The sequence below is a fragment of the Homo sapiens genome, chromosome 9, assembly GCF_000001405.40.
Source record: "Homo sapiens chromosome 9, GRCh38.p14 Primary Assembly".
In the NCBI taxonomy this organism is placed as follows: Eukaryota; Metazoa; Chordata; class Mammalia; order Primates; family Hominidae; genus Homo; species Homo sapiens.
This window is the reverse complement of record NC_000009.12, coordinates 129585083-129607837: the sequence shown is the minus strand read 5'-3', so window position 1 is coordinate 129607837 and position 22755 is coordinate 129585083. Positions and strand designations below refer to the sequence as shown.

Genomic DNA, 22755 nt, shown 5'->3' with positions numbered 1-22755 from the left:
TCATGGGGAGCATTGCTCAAATTGAGCAGTTCCAGGATGCAGTGACAAGTGCTGGGATGGGAGGCCTTGGGAGCAGAGAGTAGGGCCTCAATCCTCTGTGCAGGGCATGGGGTGGACACCTGGGCTTTCTGACGGCAGCCAGGTGGGGGCGTGGTCAGAACACAGAGGCACACAGGGAAAGGCAAGTGACTGCTACTGCCTTTCCGGTCCCACAGGAAGGCTGGTGATGCAATTCTCAGCATGGACCAGGGGAGGAAACAGACATGGGAGGGCTGTTGAGCAGGCAGAGGGAAGGGCTGGTGTTCGCCTAGCCAAGATAGACACACACACACACACACACACACACACACACACACACACCACACCACACACCACACACCCTGGCTCCCAGCCGTGTGGGGCTGCCCAGCACTCATTCCAGCTGCTCTGCCTTTATCGGGGCCATTTGTTCGACCCCACCCCCACCACCTGCCCACCCTCACCCTTTCCCATCATTTCTGCCTCTCTGGGTCCTTCTGTCTTCCCTCCCAAATACACCCTAAGTGACAGATGGTCTGCCCCTTCCTGTTGGAGGCAGTGAAACCCTTCCATGGGGACATGTGACACCACCTCCGGGCAGCCCCACAAGCCTCAACATTCCCCTATGAACAGCACCAAGAAGGGGGATGCTCACTGCTGTTTCGACCCATCGGAGCCAGCTTTGGATGCTGGATGGTGTCTAGGCCAGAAGCAGGGATTGGACTCACCAGGCTGGGCCAGGTGTCTCTAGGGCTCTGGAATTCTCCCAGTCAGACTCGGACCCCAAGCACGGCAGCCGGGAGCAGCTCCTCTGCCTCTGCCATCATGGAGCCCGGGCACCCTTAAAGACTCACCCACCAATGTTTCCCTGGCTTATTTACTGCACCTGGCAGCTGAGGGGGCTTCAGTGATGCCCCCAAACTCCCAGGGAGCCCCCCTGCCTGGCTCTGGGAAGACTTCTCTGATGGCTGAAGAGCGCAGCAAACCTCAAAAGAATCTTCCAACAGGAACGTCCTGGTCCATACACTTTGCAGCCATCTCAGTGACCCGAAGCATGTTCTCTGGGGGACGTCACCTCCCCAGGCCGGCCACAAGTAACTTCTAGTAACTTCTAACACAGCCCACAGCTGTTCTGGTCATGTGGATTATCTGGCCATGTTAATCAGGGCAGCCAGGAATCCGTGAGAGCAAGATGAACCCGGGCCCTGACCTCATGAAGCTCAGAGTCCAGCAGGAAATCGCAGAGGAATCAGGACGAAAGCTATCGAGCAAGTGCTATTTGCAGATGCTGCTCTAACACGTCCGTGCTTAAAGCTTACCTCCCCTTGAAGGAGGGCACATCTCTGGGGAGTAGGCCCAATCCCTGCAGATCAAGAAACCAGCCCACAGAGAGGTTAAGTAACTTGACCAGGGTCACACAGCTGAGCTCCAGATAAGAAATCATATAAGAAAGGGAGGTTCAGGCAGCTGTGCAGGGGAGCACAGAGCAGCTGCCTCCTCTGAGGCTGAGGTTTCTTCCTCCAGGAAGCTGGCCTAGATTTCCACTAGCCCAGCAGGGCCATAGCCAGTGCGTCCAGGCTGGCTATCCTGGCAAACTCTGTCCTGGGGAGCCAGTGTCTGGATTGGGGAGATATAGATGGGGCCAGCTGCACAGATGTGTGACCCCTGCAGGCGCACAGGGCCCCAGGCTTAGAAGGGCCCTGCACAGGCTTCATGCTATGTGGTTGCCATCTTGAAATTTGCAATACATGAGGCACGAGGGGTCCTGCTTTTCATTTTACCCTGGGCCCCACAGACTGTAGCTACCCCATACACAGACACTAAATTATGGCGATGCTGAGCTGCGGCTGGGCGGAGGGCTGGTGAGAGGGTCGCAGAGGGTCTCCTGGAAGAATCGGCCAGACAGAGAGGCCGAGGGGCTGGAGCGAGGCTGGTCAGATGGGCAGCTCCCTGGAGATGATAGTCAGGAGTGAGCTTTGTCCTGCCTGACCCCAAAACCCTGCCGTGGCTCCCCAGGACCCCTCAGGGCAGCTCCCTGGGAGCTAGGCCAGCATCAGGCAGGTCAGGAGCAGCAAAGCTCTGAGAGGACTTTTATTTTTATTTTTGAGACAGGTGTTTCTTGTTATTTTTTGAGGTGGAGTCTCACACTGTTGCCCAGGCTAGAGTGCAGTGATGCAATCTCAGCTCACTGCATCCTCCGCCTTCCGGGTTCAAGCGATTCTCCTGTCTCAGCCTCCCAAGTAGCTGGGATTACAGGTGTGTGCCACCACGTCTGGAAATTTTTGTATTTTTAGTAGAGACAGGGTTTCACCATGTTGGCCAGGCTGGTCTTGAACTCCTGACTTCAAGTGATCCACCTGCCTCGGCCTCCCAAAGTGCTGGGATTACAGGCGTGAGCCACTGCGCCCAACCAGAGAGGCCTTTAAAAATACCCCTACACTGCCGGGCGCTGTGGCTCATGCCTGTAATCCCAGCACTTTGGGAGGCTGAGGCGGGCAGTTCACAAGGTCAGGAGATCGAGACCATCCTGGCTAACACGGTGAAACCCCCGTCTCTACTAAAAATACAAAAAATTAGCTGGGCATGGTGGCAGGCGCCTATAGTCCCAGCTACTCGGGAGGCTGAGGCAGGAGAATGGGGTGAACCCGGGAGGCAGAGGTTGCAGTGAGCCGAGATTGCGCCACTACGCTCCAGCCTGGGCAACAGAGCGAGACTCCACCTCAAAAAAAAAACAACAAAAAACACCTGTGTATTGAGTAGATAACATGCTTGTGTACAGCATTTGGAAGGCACAAACAAGAAACCAGTGGGAAGAAAGCCCCTCCCCCCGGCCTCTCACCTAGCCCTGGTCCCTCCCACTGGGAAACCCAGTTTCCTGTGTACCTCCCAGAGGTATTCTGTGCACATACAAGGAGGCGTGTGCCTGCGTGGTTTTCAAATTTTCGTGTGGATTTCACATACATTCTGTATTGTACACACTCTTCTGCACTTAGCTTCTCACTTCACAGTCCAAGCAGGAAATCATAAAAGGCTCTCTCAAGGCCACTGAATTGTATAGATGGAGAAACCGGAGCCCAGAGTGTCACACAGCAAGTGTGGGTGTTCTGGTGGTCCAGGCGCAGAGCCTGGCCTTGGCGCAGTGGAATCCATGTCCTTCTGCGTGCTCGCCAACCCCCCCTCGGCCTCCCCACAGCTTCTCTCCTGCCCTAATTGCAAGGGCTGCCAAGGAGGGAGCCAAGGAGGTACTGTGATGATCCCCAGTTCCACATGAGGCTCAGAGAGGTGCAGCCACTGTCCTGAGGCCACACAGCAGAACCAGGATTGGAACTCACCAAGCTGCAGTGGCCCCCCAGGAACAGGCTCATGTTCCCCAGGTGGGCACTGCCCCTCACCACAGACTTACAATCTCCCTGATACCAGATGGGGAAGCCCCCAGCTTCAGCAGGTGAGGTTTGGGTAATAGACCCTCTCAGCCTGACGGAGCCACAGGATGGAGCTGGCGGGAGTCCCAGCTAGGCCTGGAGGGTGGGGTGGGGCCAGGTGGCTCACTAGGGGGACCGGGCTGATGTGGGTGCTTGGTCTCCTAGGCTCCAGCTGTACCACTGAGGCTCCTGGAACGCCCCCTGGGCCTGTCTGGTCGCCAGGGAGGACTGGCATCAGCTGGCTGAATGTGCCTGGGATTGCTGCTCAGTTCAGCATTTGGGTTCAAAGCATTATTTTTATTGTGTTTGTTTATCCAAAGCTCGCCTTTGAAATCTGCTTTTGCGCCTCCCCATCCTGGAGAAGGGCGCTGGTTTAGTTACAAAGTGCGTTGCTGTCTCAGCCTTTAAAGAATTCTTGAGTGAAGGGGCTCACTTTCCCTGAGCATGTGTGGCCTCATGTGTGGGCGACTATGGCAGGTCTGCAGGACAACTTGGGTCCTGTCCTGACTAGCCGGGGGCAGGTGACAACAGCCCCTCAAAAGCTGTGTGTGGCTCACACCTGTAACCCCAGCACTTCGGGAGGCTAAGCAGGAAGATGGCTTTGAAGCCAGGAATTTGAGACCAGTCTGATCAACAAAGTGAGACCCCCCCCCATCTCTTTAAAAAATAAACTCATTAATTAAAACTAAATCAATCAATAAAAAGTTGTGTGGGATGAAACCTCCAAAGTACTGGAGGTGCCACCACCCTGGTGCAAGGGACACAACCTGAGGGGTCATGAGAACACTGTAAGCTGAGGACCTGCTTTGTCCAGAAAAACACCCCACTCAACCACAAAAACTTTACAACCAGTTCTAGGCCCTTCTAGGACCTTCTGAGACCCATCCACAAACCCTTTCCTCCAGTTTAGAGCCCGTTCCTAAAGAAATCTCATGGTCAGCCTTTTTGGAATAATAATCATAGTAGATAAAGTTGAACACTAACTCTATTTCAGGCACTGTGCTGTGGGATTTCTCTGATTTACTCATTTACTCCTCACACTTGAGGCACAGAGAAGTTGGGTCACTCACCCAAGGTCACACAGCCAGGAAGTGGCAAAGCCAGGATCCAGACCCAGTCAGTCCTGCCCAGGTCTGCACTCCTAACCACACACACGCGCACACACACACAGCACACGCATGAACGCATGGACACGCATGGCACCTGGCTCCTGAGTCAACCCGTGGGTTAGGCCCAGGGAGGGCCTGGGGTGGAAGACCTCAGGTGAACTGCCCAGGCTTGGGGTCTGGTGAGCTGGGTGACTGAGGTCGAGTCCTTTTGTGAGGATTAGGTGGGCACCACCCGGAGATCCCTGGCCCAAGGCCAGCAGCGGGGAGGAGCTGATACCATTATGAGGGAAGTGACAGACAGTGGGGACACCCCTCCCCAGTGACTGCCACTCGGCACAGCCTCCTCCCCCTTCCCTCTTCCTCTCCCCTCTCCTCTCCTCCCCTCCCTCATTCTCCCCCTCCTCCTCTCTCCTTTCCTCTCTCCTCCCTTTTCCTCCCTCATCTCTCCCCTCCCTCCACATTCTTGCCCCCTTCCTTCTACCCCCTAATTTTCTTCTTCCTCCCTTCTTACCCCTCCTTCCTCCCTCCCTTCTCTCTCCTTTGCTTTCTCCACTTGTTCCCTCCCTCCCCCTTAACTCCCTCATGTCTCCCTCCCTCCTTCCTCCCTCCCTCCTTCCTGTCTGTTTTCCTTTCCCCCTTCCTCTCTTCCTTCTCTCCCTCCCTGCTGCTTGCCTCCTCTCTCCCCTTCTTCTCTCTGTTTTTCCCTCTCTCTCTCCTCCTCCTTCCCGCTTTCTTCTCTTCTGACTCCCTCCTCCTCCCTGTCCTTCCTCTCCCTCCACTCTCTTTCCCTCCTTCTCCAGACAAGGAATAAGAGTTGCTCACCCCTGGCCAGCTCAGTGGCTCACGCCTGTAATCCCAGCACTTTGGGAGACCGAGGCGGGCAGATCACTTGAGCTCAGGAGTTCCAGACCAGCCTGGCCAACATGGTGAAACCCCATGTCTACTAAAAATATATGTTTTAAATTAGCCAAGCGTGGTGGCGCGTGCCTGTAATCCCAGCTACTCGGGAGGCTGAGGTGACAGGGTCGCTTGAACCCGGGACGCAGAGGTTGCAATGAACTGAGATTTCGCCATTGCACTGCAGCCTGGGCAACTGAGCAAGACTCCCTCTCAAAAAAAAAAAAAGGTGTTCACCACCCTCCTCCAAGCAGCTGTCCATCCTACCAGAGGAACAGCCCATCCCTGTAAACACTGCACTTCTGAGAAGGACCAGACCACACCTGGGGACACCCCTGGGTCTACCTGGGGGCCTGCCCAAGAAGGATGGGGAGGGGCCCACTGGCTGAACAGACCCGGCCAGACCTTCCCACCCAGAGCCTCTTGGCTCCCCTCCCGCATCCCCAATGCTGGGAGGACAGGGAATGGCCTCCATGGGCCTTCCAGGCTGAAATTTCTAGCGTTTGTGGAGTTAAGACCCTAATATTATGGGCCGGGCAGGGTGGCTCATGCCTGTAATCCCAGCTACTTGGGAGGCTGAGGCAGGAGAATTGCTTGAACCCAGGAGGCGGAGGTTGCAGTAAGCCGAAATCATGCCACTGCACTCCAGCCTGGGTGACAAAGACTCCGTCTCAAAAAGAAAAAAAGACCTTAATATTATTTATCGACAGTTTTTGGTGGTTTAATAGAATTGAGGGTAAATCTAACTTGCAAATTTTCCTTTTGATCTCCTTTTTCTTTTAGGAGAGAACAGAGCCGGCTTTAGAGCAAGACTGGAGACCGCTCCCTCTGCTCTCCTGTTCCCAGTCAGGACTCTCCTGGGGTTTGCAGTCCTGGGGTGTCCCTGAGCACGTCCGTCCGGCAGGATTCCTGGTTGCCAGCCTTGACTCCCCCTGCTTGTCCCTCCCCCCGGCACCCCAGCACTGAAGTCCTGGGGACTCCTCTGAGCCCCAAGGCCCCGGCCCCTCTGCCTCCTCCCTCCTCTCTCCTTCTTCCCCCTCTGTGCTTCCCCTCACACTCTGCAGTAGGCCTCTGGCTTCTCCTTTAGCTCCTGAGCCAAACTCCTTCACACCCCAGGGCCTTTGCACATGCCCTCCTCTCTACCCAGAATGCTCTCCTACCAGCTTCACGGGTTCCCACTTAACATCAGATCTCAGATGTCACCTCCTCAGGGAAGCTCTTCCAAATGAAACCAGCTCCCCACAGTTCTCCTTGTGTGGCACTTACCACAATCAGGACGGAACAGTGGTGGCATTGCTGGCACACATGGACCATACTCAGTAGCCCCTGAGCTCCAAGAATGCAGAGACTGGACAGGTCCCTAACACAGAGCCTGCCACAGAGAAGGCCCTGAATGAACGCTGCGCAAAGGGATGGGGATCCTATCTGTGAACATCTCCCTGCCACATACCGTGCCTCAGTTTCCCTGCCTATACGGCAAGGGGGAGGGTCCCGTGCCTGCACTTGCAATGCAGTGTTTCTCAGATGTTCCCTCTGGGCTTCTGGCAGGGATCACATTCATTTCACGGTATTTGACTTCTTTGATTATCTGATTTTTCCAGGGAGGAATTTTAAATCTCTGGGCTGGGGCGGCATCTGCTAGATACCTGGGCACTTGTCCCAGCCCACCAGCCTGGGTACATTCAGCATCATGCTGGAAGCCCGTTAAAACTGCCCCCTCTTGGCAGATTAGGCCCCACGCAGAGACACCCTTCCAGGGCTCTGGAACCATGCAGTGTTTGGTGCGAGTGGGTAAGCAGTACAGCTCTCTTTGGGCAAAGCTCTAAATCAAGTGCAGGGGCATAGGAGCCAGGCAGACTGGGTTCCAATTCTGACTCAGTCACTTCTGGTGAGACTGGGGCCCACCATTTACTTTTTATTTGAGATGGAGTCTCGTTCTGTCGCCAGGCTGGAGTGCAGTGGTGTGATCTCAGCTCACTGCAACTGCCACCTCCCTGGTTCAAGTGATTCTCCTGCCTCAGCCTCAAGAGTAGCTGGGATTACAGGGGCGTGCCACCACGCCCAGCTAATTTTTTTGTTTGTTTGTTTTGAGATGGAGTCTCGCTCTGTCGCCCAGGCTGGAGTGCAGTGGTGCGATCTCGGCTCACAGCAACCTCCACCTCCCCGGTTCAAGTGATTCTCTTGCCTCAGCTTCCAGAGTAGCTGGGATTACAGGTGCCTGCCACCACGAGTGGCTGATTTTTGTATTTTCATTAGAGACAGGGTTTCATCATGTTGGCCAGGATGGTCTTGAACTCCTGACCTCAGGTGATTCACCTGCTTTGGCCTCCCAAAGTGCTGGGATTACAGGCGTAAGCCACTGCACCTGGCCTAATTTTTGTATTCTTAGTAGCAATGGGGTTTCACCATGTTGCCCAGGCTGGTCTCGAACCGCTGACATCAGGTGATCCACCCGCCTCGGCCTCCCAAAGTGCTGGGATTACAGGCATGAGCCACTGTGCCTGGCCTCACCATTCACTTCTCTGTGTCTCAGTCCCAGGCCTGCGCAATGGTCGTATCACTGTCAGAGGTGTCTGAACCAGGGCAATTCCATCTTGAATGGGGCTGGGTAAAATGAGGCAAGACCTACTGGGCTGCTGCATTCTCAGACGGTTAAGGCATTCTAAGTCACAGGATGAGATAGGAGGTCGGCACAAAATACAGGCTATAAAGACATTGCTGATAAAACAGGTTGCAGTTAAGAAGCTGGCCAAACCCCCCAAAACCAAGATGGCAACCAGAGTGACCTCTGGTTGTCCTCATTGCTAGACTCCCACCAGCGCCATGACAATTTACAAATGCCATGGCAATGACAGGAAGTTACCCTATATGGTCTAAAAAGGGGAGACATGAATAATCCACCCCTTGTTTAGCATATCATCAAGAAATAACCATAAAAATGGGCAACCAGCAGCCCTCAGCGCTGCTCTATGGTGTAGTCATTCTTTTGAGACAGAGTCTTGCTCTGTCGCCCAGGCTGGAGTGCAGTGGTGCGATCTCAGCTCACTGCAACCTCCGCCTCCTGGGTTCAAGCCATTCTCTTGCCTCAGCCTCCTGAGTAGCTGGGATTACAGGCACATGCAACCATGCCTGGCTAATTTTTGTATTTTTAGTAGAGATGGGATTTCTCCATGTTGGCCAGGCTGATCTCAAACTCCCGACCTCAGGTGATCTGCCCACCTCAGCGTCCCAAAGTGCTGGGATTACAGGGGTGAGCCGCCGTGCCTGGCCTATTCCTTTACTTTTTTTTTTTTTCTTCTTCTTCTTTAAGACGGAGTCTCGCTCTGTTGCTAGGCTGGAGTGCTGTGGTGTGATCTTGGCTCACCGCAACCTCCGCCTCCCAGGTTTAAGCTGTTCTCCAGCCTCAGCCTCCCGAGTAGCTGGGACTACAGGCGCGCACCACTACGCCCAGCTAATTTTTGTATTTTTTAGTAGAGATGGGGTTTCACCATGTTGGCCAGAATGATCTCGATCTCTTGACCCCGTGATCCGCACACCTCGGCCTCCTAAAGTGCTGGGATTATAGGCATGAGCCACCATGCCCGGCCTATTCCTTTACTTTCTTAATAAACTTGCTTTTACTTTATGGACTCACCCTGAATTCTTTCTTGCGAGAGATCCAAGAACCCTCTCTTGGGGTCTGGATCTGGACCCCTTTCCTACACCACCACCTCCCAGCTGGGGTTCTTGTGTTGATCAAGATGCTTCCCAGCCTGGGCCTGACACACAGTAAGTGCCCTGCCCCTCTCACCCCAGAGGCAGTGGCTAAACCTCAAGTCTCTGGGGCCCCAAAAATCTGCGTCAATACCCAGCTCTGCCCCTTGTCTGGCTTCGCAACCTCTCGGTGTCCGTTTCTGGGTCTGTAAAGCGGGGGTGATACTACTCCTGCGCCTGCACCCCACGTTATGTCAGTGTCTGCTTTCCAAATTCCCAGCCTGGACTCACCTCCCCTATGACTGTTTTGCAATCAGTGGGGACCACGGGCAGGGAGGAAGGTGGAGGAAAGCCCAAGTAACTTTGTGTCAAGTCCCAGTTTTCCTGCCAGCTGAGACCTGGGGCAAGCGACACCCCCTCTGCCTCAGGCTGTTCACCTAAAAAAAGGATGTTCTTAATCTACACACAGGGCTCTGTGGGGCTTGGATGGGGCACGCGGACGGCTACAGAATGTCAGGCAGCCACTTCCTTATGGTTACACCAGAAAGGGAGAGCCATTTCCCTCCACCCTTACTTTAGGGACCGGGAAACAGGACGGCAAGAAGGAATGCGCTACACCTCAACCCGGAGGGAGGGCATTCAGCCGCCACCCCCTCAGCCTTCCAGGAAGCTGAGGCCCAGAGAGGGCCAGGCTGGACCACGGGTTACACTGCGGGCAGGGCTTGGCTGATGCAGGAAGCGGTTCCTCTCCGGTGGGATGGGTGGGGTCGGGCAGGTACCCCAAGGAGAGCCCGGGCTCCCAGCTTAGCTTCCTGTTCCTATCTCAGCTGTCCAAGGGCCACTGAATGTTCCCGAATGCCCCTCCCCAGAGGAGTCCTGGGCAGGGAGTAGGGCATTCAGGAAAGCTGAGGCCCAGCGACAGGTAGGCGCTGGCCTGAGGTCCCACAGCGCAGGCGGGTCCGAAGCCCCCAGTCTGGGTTCAGGCCTCCCCCGCCCTGCGGCGCGGCCTCGTGGCGTCCCCAGCCCTCCGTTCCCGGTCGCTGCCCTGCAGGGACTTGCCCAGCGGGGACGCGCCGGGCCTCCCCGAGGTCTGCGCCCGGCTGCAGCCGCGGGATGAAAGGGGAATCCACCGAAACCCGCCTCCCTCCCAGCTCGCCCGCCCCACCCGCAACCGGATCTGGCTGGGGGCGGCGGGCTTTGAAGTCCGCGCCAGCGGCCCCAGCGCTCGGACGGCTCCGGAGACTCCGGGAGGCCGACTTGAAAGGGCAAGCCGCGGGCCGGTCCAGCCTTCCCGGGACAGGGCCGGGGAGAGCGGGGAGGAGGAGGGGAGGGGCGGGAGGGGGAGAAAGGGGAGAGTGAAGGGGAGGGGGCGGAGGGAGGGACAAAGGGTCCCGCCTGACGCCCTCCCCAGGGCCCAAGGGCGGCCCAGCCCCGCGCTAGGAGCGAGGAATGAGTTATCCCGGCATTCAAGGCCCTGCCGTGGGTGCCCTGCGCGCCACCCGTTTCTTCCTCCCTCCTGGCCCCTTGGCCAGACAGAACTGCTTCTCAGCTACTGCCTCACTCCGGCCTTAGCACACGCTGTTCCTTCTGCCAGGAGCGCCTTTCCCATCTTCCCCTCCCAGGCTCCAGCCTCAGCTCCTCCCTGCGGGGGATGGGAGGGAAGGGCGTCCTCTCTTCCTGTGGGGCCTCCCATAAACCTCCTGCCCTACCCTCTTCCCGGGTGCCCTCCTCCCCGGCCCCCTGCCTCAGCGTCCCCCAAGGCTGCTCAGACTCTGGTAATCCCTGGCCCAGAACCCCAGCTGTGGACACCTGGAGGGCATCCTCGCATCCCCCAGTCTGGACAGCTGTGGGTGGGCGCAGGAGACAGGGAGAGGGGGTCCTTCGATAATAGCGATCACAATACTAATAAGCCTTGGGGACTGGTCAGTGTGTGGGCGGGTGCTGAGAGAATTCCAGGGTCCTAGAGCCCATCGGCCCCGCGCACTGGAGCCTTATAGCTTCCAATGCACCCATGCAGGCGCACCATAGCCTCTTTCTCCTCCCTGCCCATCAGATTGCAAAGCTGGGTGACCCCTCTCCCGACCTCCAGCCGGGACCTCCTCCTCACTGCAGAGGGCCCCCAGCTGCCGCCTCGGCCCTTGGGTTCAACCACTGGCAGCCCCTAGAAAGCTCCAGCCCCACCCCCAGGGTTCTCTGTCCTCAGAGTCCCAGGAGGCTTTGCAGCTGTCTCCTGGAACCCTCTCCTCTGCCCACCTAGTGGGCTGATTGCCTGGTTTCTCCCAGCTCCCCAGGGCTGCTGGCTGAGGACAGAGTTTTTGTTCCAAGTTGCAGATGAGGACACTGAGGCCCACAGAGAAGTTGAGGTCTCGAAGCTGGTGGGATTGAGGTGGCCATGCTGGCCCCTGAGGAGCCAAGAGAGAGGGGCCCCCAACAGGCTGTGTCTAATAGGACAAGAGTGCCGCCATCTTCACAAGTCTCCACCATCTTAAAAGTATCAAGTTTCCATGTCTCAAAACTGTCCGCAAATGTCAACCCTGCCCATAGCTTCAACAGAGCATAAGGCTGTAACTGCAGCAGAACCTCACAAAGTCCCCAACAGTCACAACCAGCCAGCACTTCCCCAACTCCTCCACATAGAATCTTTCCTCAAAGCACACTTCCGGGCTGGGCGCGGTGGCTCATGCCTGTAATCTCAGCACTTTGGGAGGCTGTGGTGGGCAGATAACCTGAGGTCAGGAGTTCAAGACCAGCCTGGCCAACATGGTGAAACCAGGTCTCTACTAAAAATACAAAAAAATTAGCTGGGTGTGGTGGCAGGCGCCTGTAATCCCAGCTACTCAGGAGGCTGAGGCAGGAGAATTGCTTGAACCTGGGAGGCGGAGGTTGCAGTGAGCTGAGATCCCACCATTGCACTCCAGCCTGGGCAACAGGAGTGAAACTCTGTCTCAAAAAAAAAAAAAAAAAAGCACACTTCCCCAACCAGGCCCTTTAAAAAGCCTCAGGCTATATGAGAAGCTTGCTCCTGAGCCTGCTGGCCAGAAGCCCTTCTCAGGTTTACTCTTAATAAATCCATCTCCACTGTAGAACTGCCTTCTTGCCTCTTCTTTCCTTCATCTTTCTATTCCAATACTTGCTGCCAAACCCCGGGATGAGTCTTGGGGCTGAGAACTCTTGCAACCCAGGAAGCAGTGGGCCCCGACAGCTCATCCCTGGCTAATTCCTGGATCCTGAGGGTTCTCTGGCTTCCCGCCTAGTCCCTCAACTCTTCCTCTTTTTTAAAAGTGATTTGCATGAGGTAATTGAGTGACAGGAGAGGACTTCGAGGCTGTGGCCAGGGCTACCCCTGGATGGGTTCTCAAAACTCCCGGACCCAGAATTTTGCCTCCAACCGCTGGATCTGGGCAATTTACTTTCTGTTTCTCCCCAACGGCTCCAGTTTGAGAGGTCCTTTGCTGGTTCCTTCTAAAACATCCAACACCAGACACTAATTAGTAAGGTTTGCCCCCACCTGTCTCTCCTGTGCTACCCAGGAGACTCAGGTCCGCAGTCCCGGTCTCCTGGGGACCATTAGGACCATCAGAGACCTTGGGAGGGTGACGTTCAGGGATGCCTGACCTTTCCCCTCAGTCTACCTCCTCTTGAGAGGATCTCCCGTCTCTGCCCTTTTTCTGGGGATGCCTAGTCTAACGGCAGACACCCCTGGCCTTTCCTTGCCAAATCTCAATGGGCTCCAATCAATCTCAAATTACTCCTTCCTCCCCTCTAGGTTTCCTGATTTGTAACCTTTCTAAACTCGGTATAAAGGGGGACATTAAAGTAAAGTGCCTTATATTCTTTTGCAATACTGCCTGGCCTCAGGCCAAGGGCAACCGTTGGCCTGAAAACGGCACATTCGACCACCAAATTTTAAGGGATTTAGATAACTTCATTTATCGAAATGGCAAATGGCAAGAAGTTCCTTCATTTACCTTTGCTCACGTCCTTCCCTCTGCCAAGATTGTTCCCCACACCTCTAATTTGCTCCTTAATCTCTGTTGTTGGCATAAAGGGCATTCAGAAAACTCCCCTCCAAACACTCCCCTTATATTGTTCCTTTCGGGACGTCACCCTCATACATTGCTTCCTGTTAATCCCACATTGCCCCATGCCTCTTCTAAGTAGAGACCTGCTGCACAAATTGCGTGGCTTCCTCCACCTTTGGGCTCTTGGCCAAAGCCATCCCTACTTATTTTTATGCCAGGAACCCAAATTCTCCCTACCTGAAGTTAAGGAGCCAACACCTGACCTTAGCATTATAACTCAAACAAATCCTATTGTTTGGTCAACACAAATTCTGCAGTCGTGGCGGCCCACCACTCCCCATTAAAATTTCATTAAAGGATCCTTCTCATTAGATCACAGTCCAACAGTATTCTGTCAGCCCTGAGAGGCTTCGGGGACTCAAGCCCATCATCTCCCAACTGTTAGCTGCCAACATCCTCATTCCAACCCATTCCCCTCATAACACCCCTATTGTCCCTGTCCGGAAGCTGGATGGGTCCTACCGGCTTGTCCAGGACCTTCGTCAAATCAATTCTGCTGTCATCCCTACACACCCAGTCGTTCCTAATCCCTATACACTCCTCTCCAGAATCCCCCCTCATACCAGTCATTTTTCAGTACTAGACCTCAAAGTGCCTTTTTCAGGCCAGGCACAGTGGCTCTCGCCTGTAATCCCAGCACTTTGGGAGGCTGAGGCGGACGGATCACGGGGTTGGGAGATCAAGACCACCCTGGCTAACACGGTGAAACCCCGTCTCTACTAAAAATGCAAAAAATTAGCCTGGCATGGCGGCGGGCGCTTGTAGTCCCAGCTACTCAGGAGGCTGAGGCAGGAGAACGGCATGAACCCGGGAGGCGGAGCTTGCAGTGAGCCGAGATTGCGCCACTGCACTCCAGCCTGGGCGACAGAGCGAGACTCTGTCTCAAAAAAAAAAAAAAAAGATGCCTTTTTCACTATACCTCTATACCCTTCTTCCCAAAACCTGTTTGCTTTTACCCAGATGGATCCAGATACCAACATTTCCCAACAGCTCACATGGACTGTCCTCCCCCAGGGTTTCAGACACAGCCCCCCAACTTTTTTGGACAAGCCCTTCAAGCAGACCTCTCTAAACTTTGCCTAACACCTCCCATCCTCCTTCGCTATGTAGATGATCTGCTGCTCTGTTCCCCTTCAGAGGAACTCTCTATTCAGCATACTGTTACCCTTTTAAACTCCCTCACCCAGTACAGCTACCAGCTGTCCAAAAAAAAAAAAAGGCCCAATTAGCCTCCTCCAAGGTTTCATACCTGGGCCTCATGATTACCCCTGCCACCTGGGAAATTCCCTCAACACACAAGCAGATGGTCCAGAGCATCCTATTCCCTCATACCAAAAGAGACTGTCTCTCTTTCTTGGGACTCATGGAGTACTTCCAGCTATGGATTGCCAATTTTGTAGTGATTGCCACGCCATTATATGAGGCCTCAAAGGGAAACCTCGCTGAGCTTATTGCCCCTACTCCTGAACTTCATCATGCTTTGTCCTGCTTAAAACAAGCTCTAACCTGGGCCCCTGCTTTGGGTCTCCTTAACCCCAGCCGACCTTTCCATTTATACTTACACAGCTCCCAAAACGGAGCTTTAGGCCTTTTGGCCCAGCCCACAGGGGACTCTCTTCAACCTGTTGCATACTTCTTCAAGCAGCTAGATCTTATCTATAAAAGTTGGCCTCACGGCTGGGCACGGTGGCTCATGCCTGTAATCCCCACACTTTGGGAGGCCGAGGCGGGCAGATCCCCTGAGGTCAGGAGTTCGAGACCAGCCTGACGAACATGGAGAAACCCCATCTCTACTGAAAATACAAAATTAGCCGGGCATGGTGGTACATGCCTGTAATCCCAGCTACTAGGGAGGCTGAGGCAGGAGAATCGCTTTAACCTGGGAGGCGGAGGTTGCAGTGAGCCGAGATCGCGCCATTGCACTCCAGCCTGGGCAACAAGAGCGAAACTCCGTCTCAAAAAAAAAAAAAAAAAAAAAGTTGGCCTCTTTGCCTAAACATTTTAGCCACAGCCTCTTTAATTATCCCAGAGGCACAAAATTTCATCTTCTATAAACCCCTGCAAGTTTATTCATCACATGACTTGCAAGATATGCTCAGCCACAGGGCACTTCAAACAGTATCCCCTTCCCGCATCCAGACCCTGCACTCAGCCATTCTCCAATCCTTTCTCTCCCTCCGTAAATGCTCCCCTCCTAACACCGCCACCCTTTTACCCTCAACACCCCTCTTAGAGTCACCCCTGCACTCCTGCACTGATATCACTGATGACTCCCTTATCACGTTCCATCATTTAACCAACGCACCTATAAAGGGAGCTCCAGGCTGGTTTCTAGACAGCAGTGTGTCCAGAGTTCCTCCTTTCTCAGCAGGGTATATTATCATGGAAGGATACCGTGATGACACCCCCGTCCTCCCTCCCTGAAGAGTCATAGAAGCCTCTTTCTTACCAGCAGGCACATCCTCCCAGCAGGTAGGCCCATAACCAGGGCCCTAACCCTAGCAGCAGGAAAACAGGTCAATATTTACACTGACTCCAAATATGCATAGAACATCATTCATTCCAATGCCCAAATTTGGAGTGAACGCGGTTTCCTCACCACAAAGTGAACCCCCATTGTTAATGGAAAGCTCATTCGCCATTTGTTACAGGCTGCCTTGCTCCCAAAAAGTGGCAATAATTCACTGCAGGGAACACCAATCAAATGAGGGTCATATTTCCTTAGGAAATCGCAAGGCTGACAAATGAGCCAGAATGACCTCAGCAAATCAAGAAATTCCCCAATATCTTTTTTTTTTTTTTTTGAGATGGAGTCTCGCTCTGTCCTCTGTCGCCCAGGCTGGAGTGCAGTGGGGCGATCTTGGCTCACTGCACCCTCTGCCTCCCGGGTTCAAGCGATTCTCCTGCCTCAGCCTTCCGAGTAGCTGGGACTACAGGCGTGTGCCACCACGTCTGGAAATTTTTTGTATTTTTAGCTAGATACATGGTTTCATGCCCCCTGAAAGCCTCCCTGCCACCAATAAAAGAGCCTCTACTGTGGCCGCCAAACTACTTTCTGTGTGTATGTGTATGTGTGTGTGTGTGTATATATATATATATACACACACACACACACATACACACACACACACACATATATATTTGAGACCAAGTTTCACTCTTGTTGCCCAGGTTGGAGTGCAATGGCGCGATCTCAGCTCACTGCAACCTCTGCCTCCCGGGTTCAAGCGATTCTCCTGCCTCAGCCTCCTGAGTAGCTGGGATTACAGGTGCCCACCATCACACCCAGATAATTTTTTGTATTTTTAGTCGAAAAAATACTTTAGTATTTTAGCCACCTGCCTTGGCCTCCCAAAGTGCTGGGATTACAGGCATGAGACACCAGGCCTGTCCTCCCCAAATCTTATAAAAGCCCTTCATATTACTTGGAAATTCCATATTCCTTACTGATCTCCATCTTCTGGGAAGGTAGAAAGGATGAATTGCATTCTAAAAAATACTCTCACAAAATTCTCCTTACAAACCCACAAAGACTGGACCACCTTATTGCCCCTCGCCCTTCTCAAAATTAGGGCTCTCCCTCGCAAACCCCTAATGATTAGTGCATTTAATTCATGTACAGGAGACCTCTTGCCTCTTTTACGCCATCTCAAAAAAGCCCCTTCACTCCCCGATTCCCTTGTTACTCCACTCCTACAGGCAGTCCGCAGTTTCCTTTGGAAATGTGTGAACTGCACCTTACCCCAACCACTCCCAAGCACAGACAACCCCTCTCTCCATCAGTGAGACTAGGTTCTCCAAACCCCAAGAGAAACCCCCAGCAACCCTCTTAAGCCCAAGCAGGATGGCCCTTATTAGATTATTCTGGCTACCCCACAGCCACTAAGCTCAAGGGAATTCCTAATTTGTTCCACCCCTCATCCCTCAAAGAAACCATCCAGCCCCCCACCAACTCAGAATAAAACCCTCTCAACCTTTTCCTGTGTTTCCACGGGGCCTACATCTGTCTGCCTAACCAGGATTCCCAAAGAAGAAACTTCCACCTAAACCTCTCTATTAAAAGCCTATCACCCGGGCGCGGTGGCTCATGCCTGTAATCCCAACACTTTGGGAGGCCGAGGCAAGTGGATCACGAGATCAGGAGTTTGAGACCAGCCTGACCAACATGGTGAAACCCTGTCTCTACTAAAAATACAAAACTTAGCCGGTTGTGGTGGTCCGCGCCTGTAATCCCAGCTACTCAGGAGGCTGAGGCAGGAGAATTGCTTGAACCTGGGAGCTGGAGGTTGCAGTGAGCCAAGATCGTGCCACTGCACTCCAGCCTGGTGACAGAGAGAGACTCCGTCTCAAAAATAAAAATAAAAATAAATAAAAGCCTATCAATCTTCTATGTTGCCCTCTCCCCACAATTTTCACCTCTTCCTCACACTCCTTAGCTCAGACATTACCTGGTCCCCTCACGAGGAGCCTCTAGTTTCCCCTAATCAAACCTTTAACCTTCTGTTGGACTTATGGCTTCAAGGTACCTCCTAGGATTTCTCCCCCACCCAAATAACTTTCTTTTCCTTCTGCCTGATGTTCCCTCTCCCCTAAGTTTACCTTTCCTCACTACAATGGGATCCGCAGCCCGCATCAAGTCACTCCTCAAAGCTAAGCATCTGGAACTTTCTTTGAATCTCACTCAGTCCCTGCTGTGGCAAGCTAATCCTTCCTATGCTCATAATTGTTGGATGTGCCTATCACTCTCCTCATTGTCGGCATATACAGCCCAATCGGCGCTTCTCCCTACAACGTTAACTCAAAAAACATTCCTGACTTATAAACTCCAAAAGCGGTCTTCCTGCTTTGAAAGGGCAGACACTGTACTTGGCAATTACCCTACCCAATTTGCTAACCAAGCCAATAAACTGTTCCAAACATATTATAACTCTCTAACAAAATATGCCCACGGCCAGGCGCTGTGGCTCATGCCTGTAATCCCAACACTTTGGGAGGCCAAGGCGCGCAGATGGTTTGAGGTTGGGAGTTCAGGAGCAGCCTGACCAACAGGGTGAAACCCCATCACTACTAAAAATACAAAATTTTAGCCGGGCGCAGTGGCGCACACCTGTAATCCCAGCTACTCGGGGAGCTGAGGCAGGAGAATTGCTTGAACCTGGGAGGCGGAGGTTGCAGTGAGCCGAGATGGCAACACTGCACTCCAGCCTGGGCAACAGAGCGAGACCCTGTCTCAAAAACAAAACAAAACACAAAATATGCTCCCCCCCGCCCCCTCTATTGAAGGACCCCTTACTCTTCATATCCCTCTCCTTCAATGGGCTCCACTGTTTTTCAGCCACACAGGGCATGTGCCCCATAGGATCCCTCATTCCAGGAGAATGTAACAAAACCATTTCTATCCAGCACGCTACAGACCATCAAACTAACCGGGTTGAATATCAAGTGTCACCAGAAGCCAGTGGGTTGCTCCTCCAACCAGTTCGCTTTATAGCCACCCCCCACATCACGGCTACCTCCTTTAATTGCTCTATCCCCAACACACATCTCTATCCGTGGCTATCCATAACTGGTCCTGCTCCAGATCGCATCAAATGTTCAAAGGTTGACTCCCAACACATCTTCACCATCATCAGAGCCTCCTTGCATCTACACTGTCTGTTTGGAGCCAGGAACCCACCACAAACAACCAAAGGCCCTTAATCCACCTTTTTTCCCTTCATATCTCTACCTGCATTTCCGAAGCAGGCCTGTTTTCCTGCCTGGCACCAACACTTACCTCTGCCTCCCAACCGATTGGACAGGCACCTGTACTCTGGGCCCCCTTTCTCCAGGCTTCGGAATAATTCCCCCTAACCCAGCCCTGCCGGTGCCTTCCATTCAGCATGTCAAACAGACAAGGGCAGTCCAAATCATTGCCTTATAGGCTGTTCTGGGCATCAGCTCAGGCATTGGTTTAAGAGCTGGGGGATTAGCCACTTCACTCTCAAATTTTAAGTCTCTCTCCACAGACCTACAAGAATCCTCAGAAGATATAGCCAAGGGCCTTGTAAGAATCCAAGACCAGCTAGACTCCCCAGCCGGAGGAGTCCTCCAAAACCGGAGAGGACTCGACCTCCTTACAACAGAGAAGGGAGGTTCCTGCCTCTCTCTAGGGGAAGAATGCTGCTTCTATCTCAACCAGCCAGGCTTGGTAAGGGATGCCGTCCAAAACTTAAGGAAAGAGCTCAAAGAATGAGGGAGCGACAAGAAAACCAACCAAATCAGTTCCTGGTTAAATGTTCCTTACCGACAGGATCACAGCCATCTCACAAACTACCCCCCAACAACACCTGAAGACGGTGCTACTCCTCCAGTCAATCCAAAACCAGCAATCTTACGGCCCCCTTTCAGCAGGAAGTAGCCAGAAAAAGCACGCCAGCCCATCTCCCTATCTAACCATAGAGTCTGGATTGATAGGACAAGAGTGCTGCCATCTTAACGAGACTCCACAATCTTCTTTTTTTTTTTTTGAGAGAGAGTTTCACTCTTGTTGCCCAGGCTAGAGTGCAGTGGCGCAATCTCTGCTCACCTCAACCTCCGCCTCCCGGGGTCAAGTGATTCTCCTGTCTCAGCCTCCCAAGTAGCTGGGATTACAGGCAAGTGCCACCATGCCCGGCTAATTTTGTATTTTTAGTAGAGACGGGGTTTCTCCATGTTGGTCAGGCGGGTCTCGAACTCCCGACCTCAGGTGGTCCGCCCGCCTTGGTCTCCCAGAGCGCTGGGATTACAGGCATGAGCCACTGCGCCCGGTCTCCACCATCTTAAAGTATCAAATTTCCATGTCTCAGAACTGTCCGCAAATGTCAGCCCCGCCCATAGCTTCAACAGAGCATAGGCCCTAACTGCAACAGAGCCTAACGAAGTCCCCATTCGTCATAACTAGCCAGCCCTTCCCCAACTCCTTCCCAATAGGATCTTCTCTCAAAGCACACTTCCCCCACCGGGCCCTTTAAAAAGCCTCAGGCTGTAATGCCGGCCAGAGCCCTTCTCAGGTTTACTCTCAATAAATCCATCTCCACTGTACAGCTGTCTTCTCCCCTCTTCCTTCCTTTATCTTATTTTTTTTCTTTTGAGACGGAGTTTCACTCTTGTTGCCCAGGCTGGACTCACTGCAACCTCTGCCTCCCGGGTTCAAGCGATTCTCCTGCCTCAGCCTCCCTGGCAGCTGGGATTATAGGTGTCTGCCACCACACCCAGCTAATTTTTTCTATTTAGTAGAGATGGGGTTTCACCATGTTGGCCAAGCTGGTCTCAAACTCTCGACAAGTGATCCACCCGCCTTGGCCTCCCAGTATGCTGGGATTACAGGTGTGAGCCACTGCGCCCGGCCACTTTCCTTAATCTTTCTATCCCAACAAGATCAAACCTGGAACTCCATTCCACCTGGGAGGTGAGAGGCCCAGGTGCCGTCCATTTGTCCGGGGTGAGCAGGGGCTCAGTACGTTTAACATAATAGCAAATTGGCCTCAGGTCTCAAGGTGGGGTTCAATGTCAGCTCTCAGGAGTTGGTGTTCTGATGCGCACACAGCACCTACAACTGGGCTGTATGCACACATACGAATCTGCGGCTAAATCTGCAGCTGTGCCTCCCCAGGAAGGCAGACAGTGTGGGGAGGAGGGAAGAGGGGGGCAGGGGTTAGTCCTGGGGCAGGGAGGGCGGTGCTGCCCACTGGAGCCACAGCCTGGGTGGGTGGAACCAGATGTGAGCTTCATCCGCCTCCTTCCCTGCCAGCTGTAGCTCTTCTGGAGATCTAGGAGCTCAGCGTTCTCGCCTCTGCCTCCCTGGGGGATTCTATCTGCAGCTCCTACCACCAACTCCCACTCCCCCACTCCTACCCAACTCCACTGCCAGGTTCAGCAGGCAGAGGGGAGAGGGGAGGCCGGATGGGGGGCTCCCCCTGGGGGCAGCAGACAGGAGACCTGACCCACCTGGGCCCAGCTTCTCAGCTGGTTTTCTCATCTTTCCTGGAGGGCTGGACTAAGTCTCCTCCTTCCTTCCTGAGCACCTACTATGTATAGCCCTGTGCTAATGCTGTGGATACCTCTGTGCATAGGCTCACTGTATAGTGAAACAGACATGAATCAAAGACACCCACAAATATGTGCTGTGATGGTGAGACTACAGGCAGCTCAGCGTAAAGGCCCTAAACCAGCCACAGACATCAGGGGAAGGCTTCTGGGAGGAAGTGACATGGTTGAGCTGAAAGCAAAGGTTAGGGCTAAGGAGAGTGAGTGGAGGGAGGGGAAGAGTAGGGGGCAGTGGGAACTGTGAGCTGGCTTTTATGAGGGGAGACAGAAGAAGGGCTTGCTGTTGAGGGAAGGGCAGTTTGATGTGGCAGAGGTAAAGTGGTGGCAGGGGGTCTGCTAGGGCCCTGGTTAAGCGGGGTCTTGCAGGACCTGGGCACCAATAGAATCCAGACCACAGTGTCCCCATCCCCCAGTTGAGGAAACTCATAGGATGGGACCCAAAGAAGCAGGAGGGCCCAAACTCGGTGGCTCATGCCTGTAATCCCAGCACTTTGCAAGGCCGAGGTGGACGGATCACCTGAGGTCAGGAGTTCTAGACCAGCCTGGCCAACATGGCAAAAACCTGTCTCTACTAAAAATACACAAATTGGCTGGGCATGGTGGTGTACACCTATAGTCCCAGCTACTCGGGAGGCTGAGACAGAAGAATCACTTGAACCCAGGAGGCAGAGGTTGCAGTGAGCCGAGATTGTGCCACTGCACTCCAGCCTGGGAGATAAAGTGAGACTCTGTCCCCTTCCCTCCACCACCAGAAAAAAAAAAAAAAACGAAAAAAAAAAGCAGGAGGGCTTAGTTGGGGTTAGAAGAACATCTCAACCTGGATTTCAGACCCCACCTTGAATGGACTGGCCAGAGACAGAAACAGAAATTGGAAGCTAGGATCTGAAGAGGCCTGGTGGATGGGGCCGGCCCCAAAGTGGATGGGGAATAGAAAGGGCCTGTGATCCACTCCCCTAGAATATCCTTTCTTCCCACTATCTTAGTAAAACTCCTATACAACCTTCAGGACCCAATCTAAATGCTCCCTCTGCTATAAAGACCTAACAGACCCTCCCAGGCTTTACCCCATCTCTGATTTCATTCACATTTCACCTGTGTCTTCTAAAACAGTAATCTTTCTTTATTCCTTCTTTTCCCCTTCTTCCCTCCCCTCCCTCCCTCCCTCCCTCCCTTCCTTCTTTCCCTCTTCTCACTCTTTCTTCTCTTTCTTTCTCTCCTTCCTTGCTATGTCACCAGGCTGGAGTATAGTGGCACAATCATAGCTCACTGCAACCTCTGCCTCCCAGGCTCAAGAGATCCTCCCACCTCAGCCTCCTGAGTAGCTGGATTACAGGCCTGTGCCACCACACCTGGCTAATTTTTGTATTTTTTGTAGAGACGGGGTTTTGTCATGTTGCCTAGGCTGGTCTTGAACTCCTGGGCTCAAGCTATCTGCCTGCCTAGGCCTCCCAAAGTGCTGGGATTATA

General features: G+C 53.5%; 7 annotated features.

Annotated features, from left to right (window-relative positions):
• Window positions 319-956: an enhancer, noted in NCBI's record as "H3K4me1 hESC enhancer chr9:132369161-132369798 (GRCh37/hg19 assembly coordinates)". NCBI's record gives its function as "activates a minimal SCP1, AML or CMV promoter by ChIP-STARR-seq in naive H9 embryonic stem cells {active_cell/tissue: H9 hESC(naive)}" and the evidence as "EXISTENCE:reporter gene assay evidence [ECO:0000049][PMID:30033119]".
• Window positions 3043-3542: an enhancer, noted in NCBI's record as "H3K4me1 hESC enhancer chr9:132366575-132367074 (GRCh37/hg19 assembly coordinates)". NCBI's record gives its function as "activates a minimal SCP1, AML or CMV promoter by ChIP-STARR-seq in naive H9 embryonic stem cells {active_cell/tissue: H9 hESC(naive)}" and the evidence as "EXISTENCE:reporter gene assay evidence [ECO:0000049][PMID:30033119]".
• Window positions 4700-4819: an enhancer, noted in NCBI's record as "active region_29115". NCBI's record gives its function as "activates an Ori minimal core promoter by ATAC-STARR-seq in GM12878 lymphoblastoid cells {active_cell/tissue: GM12878}" and the evidence as "EXISTENCE:reporter gene assay evidence [ECO:0000049][PMID:35858748]".
• Window positions 7069-7568: an enhancer, noted in NCBI's record as "H3K4me1 hESC enhancer chr9:132362549-132363048 (GRCh37/hg19 assembly coordinates)". NCBI's record gives its function as "activates a minimal SCP1, AML or CMV promoter by ChIP-STARR-seq in primed H9 embryonic stem cells {active_cell/tissue: H9 hESC(primed)}" and the evidence as "EXISTENCE:reporter gene assay evidence [ECO:0000049][PMID:30033119]".
• Window positions 10202-10421: a silencer, noted in NCBI's record as "silent region_20383". NCBI's record gives its function as "represses an Ori minimal core promoter by ATAC-STARR-seq in GM12878 lymphoblastoid cells {active_cell/tissue: GM12878}" and the evidence as "EXISTENCE:reporter gene assay evidence [ECO:0000049][PMID:35858748]".
• Window positions 19473-20156: an enhancer, noted in NCBI's record as "H3K4me1 hESC enhancer chr9:132349961-132350644 (GRCh37/hg19 assembly coordinates)". NCBI's record gives its function as "activates a minimal SCP1, AML or CMV promoter by ChIP-STARR-seq in primed H9 embryonic stem cells {active_cell/tissue: H9 hESC(primed)}" and the evidence as "EXISTENCE:reporter gene assay evidence [ECO:0000049][PMID:30033119]".
• Window positions 20737-20846: an enhancer, noted in NCBI's record as "active region_29114". NCBI's record gives its function as "activates an Ori minimal core promoter by ATAC-STARR-seq in GM12878 lymphoblastoid cells {active_cell/tissue: GM12878}" and the evidence as "EXISTENCE:reporter gene assay evidence [ECO:0000049][PMID:35858748]".